Below are 4,349 nucleotides of genomic sequence, written 5' to 3'. Positions count from 1 at the left end.
CCCAGTGCTTTGGGAGGCTGAGGTGGGTGGATCATGAGGTCGAAAGATCGAGACCATCCTGGCCAACATTGTGAAACCCCATCTCTACTAAAAATACAAACATTAGCTGGGCGTGGTGGCACGCACCTGTGGTCCCAGCTACTTGGGAGGCTGAGGCAGGAGAATCGCTTGAACCCGGGAGGCAGAGGTTGCAGTGAGCCGAGATCGCACCACTGCACTCCGGCCTGGGAGACAGTGCTAGACTCTGTCTCAAAAAAAAAAAAAAAAAAAAAAGGTTATAGCCCCAACCTTCTGAATTCATGTGCTCATGGAAGAGTGGCAAATGGAAAGCCAGTAGGGTCAGGCAAGGAGGCTGCAGGTGCAAAGGCCTCTGTGCCTGACTTCCACCCGCCCTACTCTCCTCGAGGTAGAGGAGCCACGGTCTGCTTTACAGCAGCTAGTGAGTTGCCCGGCTTGTTTATATGCTCCATCTGCCCATGTAGACTTTGATGGCCTCCAGGGAGCTCAGAGAAATGATCCAGCTTTATGCTGTCCCATCAAAAAAGGGCAAATAAAGAGCTTGCCTCCCTGCCAGGATGTCTTAATCGCTTTCACTGGAAGCCTGAGTCCACAATTTGCATCCTGCAGTTTAGGAAAGACAGAAAACCACACTGGAAGATAGAGAAGGTGGCCTGAATAAAGACACCTTGGTCTTGGTGGGGGTTCAGGATGTGGTTCCCAGGGCCGGGCAGAGAGGACATTCGAGATGTTCTCTCTGTCTGAAACACGCTGTGTGGCGTAAGAGTCGGGGAGTAGATAATTGCTCCAGAGTGCCTCCCATGGCATTCCCCTTAGGAATTTCAACAATAAATCACATCCTTTCATTTACATGTAAATATTTGCACATATAGCACCAAGGTGATATCGCTGAGAAAGCAGCAATCAAGAGAGGTACCTTCCCTGCATGGACTCAGTCACATATGCACCCCAAATGTCTGAATAGGCTTTTCAGGACCAGTAGTGTACAAGTGATGCTCTGACCTCTGGTCTCAGACATTTTCCAGTGAACCACCAGCACATCATCTAAGTGAAGTGACCCACACACTCTACCAAAATATGGCTCTTTCATTCACTATGTCACCTTAAAGCACAATACACATTCACACAATGGCAGTCGGGTCCTAAGTGTAATTGGACATTGGCAGAATGATCTGAGATCAAAGCCTTCTTTATACAGAATTCTTTTCCTACCCAACCCCACCAGGGACAGTTCAAGGCCCTATCACCTTCAGAGAGTGCCTAGTGAGACCCAGGTGGGCTGACCATATTAATTGGCTGAACTTTCAACAGCTAGTGCTGCTCTGCCTCTTACTTGATTGGAGTTAAGGTTTATTTTGCAGTGTATGTGTGACTTGGGCCTGTCCGGTAACTGTTAGTCTTTTGTTCTGATTGCTGCTTTGGCCTGGCTGTGGATATGGGATCTCCTAGTGAACCAGTTGAAGGTTTCTCCCAGGCAGAGTACTCCAGGATCCTAATCTATTATCCTCAGGTCCCCTGCACAGCTGAGGCCCCTCATAGATGAGGCTCCCAAGTCTGACATTTCAACCAGTTGAGTCCTTCCTTTTATTTTGGGGATAAGCAGTGGCTGGAACGCTGCCTTTTGAAGTTCCTGGTAAAGTCTTCCTCTGTTGGCAGCAAAGATGGCTGCCACTCACTCTTGCCCCTTGACCCTTAGTGGTTTTTATGATTAGCTCATGATCCCTGTGGAAGGCACAGGGAACCCTACCCTGAAGCAAAGTGTTAAAAAAGAGGCAGCAGTTTGGATAGAGGAGGAGTTGGGAGAACCTATGAGGACAGGCCTGGAGGACAGGTCTGGGTTAGCTTTGCCTCTACCCCAACTCAAGGCCTAGAGCTGCCAACAAAGGGAGCCCACCCAGCAGCTCACTCGCAAGCACTGGGAGGGCAGGTGTCTGAGGGCAAGCCTCTCCCACTACACAGGGCTGCCCACCACAACAACTGTGGTGTGCATAGAGTGTCAGCTATGCCCTCTCCACCTGCATTTGCCCTTGTGAAAAGGGAAGTTAATAAAATCCATCTGATAGGGTGGTCATGGTGCTCAAAAGAGATCATGTGGGTGAAATATCTTTGGAAATTCCAAAGTGCTCTGCAGATGGGAGCTGTTGTCTCCGCGATGTTTGCTGTTTCACTCTGACTCCTTCACCCCAGGCCCAGGCAGTGCCAGATTACAGGGACCCCCGCTTTGGTGGCTAAAGAAAGATGTACTGTTGATACCTGACAAGAATGGATTGTTTGTGATTATGGTTCAACTCTTATTTCAGAAAGTGAAATGAATACAATGTATGCCGGTCATGGACACTAAAAAGCGTTTTCATACCATTTTGGGAGTTGTCAGCTTTGATTTATTAAGTAAAGTTCTGAGACAGGCTGCTGGTATTCTGTCAGTCTCCTGAAAATGGATGGACCTCACTGCTGCCTGTGCCATGGTGAACGTGCGTCCAGGCACCTCCATCCTCAACAGGTGCATCCATTGGAAAAGCCGCACCTGTGACTCCTGGGTGCTGCCCATTTCACACCGTCTCCACCTTCTGTCTCTTTCCCTTCTCTGTAGTGCCCCATCATGACCATCAAGTGCCCGTTCTCCCCACCGCCCTTTAGTCAAATGTCTGTGACTAGACATCTCTGCGTTGCCCAAGCCTTTCTCCTTCTGCAGCTGATTTCCGGTCAGCAGGGACAGGAGAAATAGAAAGCCTCTACCTGAGCAGGTGGCCATCGGGACCCCATTCCTTTCCCAAACTGTGTGGTCCTGTTACTGGAAAGGGGCCTCAATCCAGAGAGGGTTCTTGGATCTCACATAAGAAAGAATTCAGGGCAAGTCCATAGAGTAAAGTGAAAGCAAGTTTACTAAGAAAGTAAAGAAATAAAAGAATGGCTATTCCACAGGTAGAGCAGCCCCAAGGGCTGCTGGTTGCCCATTTTTATGGTTATTTCTTGATGATGTGCTAAACAAGGGGTGGATTATTCATGCCTCCCCTTCTGAGACTGTATAGGGTAACTTCCTGACATTGCCGTGGCATTCGTAAACTGTCATGGCACTGGTGGGAGTGTAGCAGTGAGGACGACCAGAGGTCACTCTCATCGACATCTTGGTTTGAGTGGGTTTTGGCTGGCTTCTTTAACACAAACTGTTTTATCAACAAGGTCTTTATGACCTGCCTCTTGTGTCGACCTCCTATCTCACTCTGTGATTAAGAATGCCTTCACTTACTGGGAATGCAGCCCCACAGGTCTTAGCCTTATTTTATCCAGCCCCTATTCAAGATGGAGTGGCTCTGTTTTAAACACCTCTGACATTTCCCAACTCCCTTTTATAAGAGAACTCTTAATCCTAAGGGTTGTAGAGGAACGAAGATCCATCTTCTGTAACTTCTTCATGCTGAATAGAGGTGATGATATTTTTGCCAAACTATGAAGGTCTCTTGTATTTAGGGTAGAGAGGAGCTCAGTCAGAAAGCTTTGGTATGTCAAGGGCCATTTATAACTCTTGAGTTCCAACAAAAGGTGATATCTGGAAGAGTGATAAGCATTCAATTTAAGAAAACATTGAGTAAGCTTATTCTGCATTCCTACACAGAGAGTCCAACAGCAATATAACAAAATAAGCAAAATTATCCCATGTAAACTAAATTAGAAGGCTTTCCATGAACTGGGCAACTGTTGGGAACCAAGCTGATATAGAGTTGCTAGTTGATTCCAATATATGTCCAGGATTAGAATATTGATCCAATCCAGATTTTTACATTACTCAGACCTCTTGTTTCTTCTGAGTAGCAGCCTGAGATTACTGGTTGGTTTACAGGAATAAGCGGGGTCAGCCTACATTGCAGGAAAAAAACAAACAACTGATGAGACTGGAATTTAATAACAGGTATACCATAGTTCTTGAAACATAATTTTTCTCTCTCCAATTTTCCATTTTCACTAAAGACAAATCATGGTGAGACTGATTTACTTGATTTTACTTGGCCTGATTATTTGTATAAAGTGCAGCAAGAATAATTATTTCACATAGGCTTTTAAAATTGGCTTTGATGAAACTCTGTTCCATAAGTAATCTCAGATAAGGCTTTTTAAAAAGCCAAGCCCTGCGGTGGGTTTGTACCCTCAAATACCTATGAGTTGGGTAAGTTACTCTCCTGTTGAGGTCCCAAGATGACCTGGGCTCCTAGACATGTCAGAAAGTGACATTCTTTACTTACCACAGGTCAGGAACCCTGTACAGGGACTGTGTAGAGAAGGTATGAGGCCAGTTTCCCAAGGGGCTTTTATTGGCTCTATAAGTTTGATTCCTT

General features: G+C 46.3%; 1 protein-coding gene across 17 annotated transcripts in view; it reads left to right on the top strand.

Annotated features, from left to right (window-relative positions):
- The window catches only part of KIRREL3 (kirre like nephrin family adhesion molecule 3), a 580,037-nt gene that overhangs the window by 151,072 nt on the left and 424,616 nt on the right, over positions 1–4,349 (top strand). The window lies entirely within an intron of this gene.

This window comes from Homo sapiens, chromosome 11 (assembly GCF_000001405.40).
Source record: "Homo sapiens chromosome 11, GRCh38.p14 Primary Assembly".
Lineage (NCBI taxonomy): Eukaryota > Metazoa > Chordata > Mammalia > Primates > Hominidae > Homo > Homo sapiens.
The sequence above is the reverse complement of the archived record's forward strand: the minus strand, read 5'-3'. Positions and strand labels throughout refer to the sequence as shown.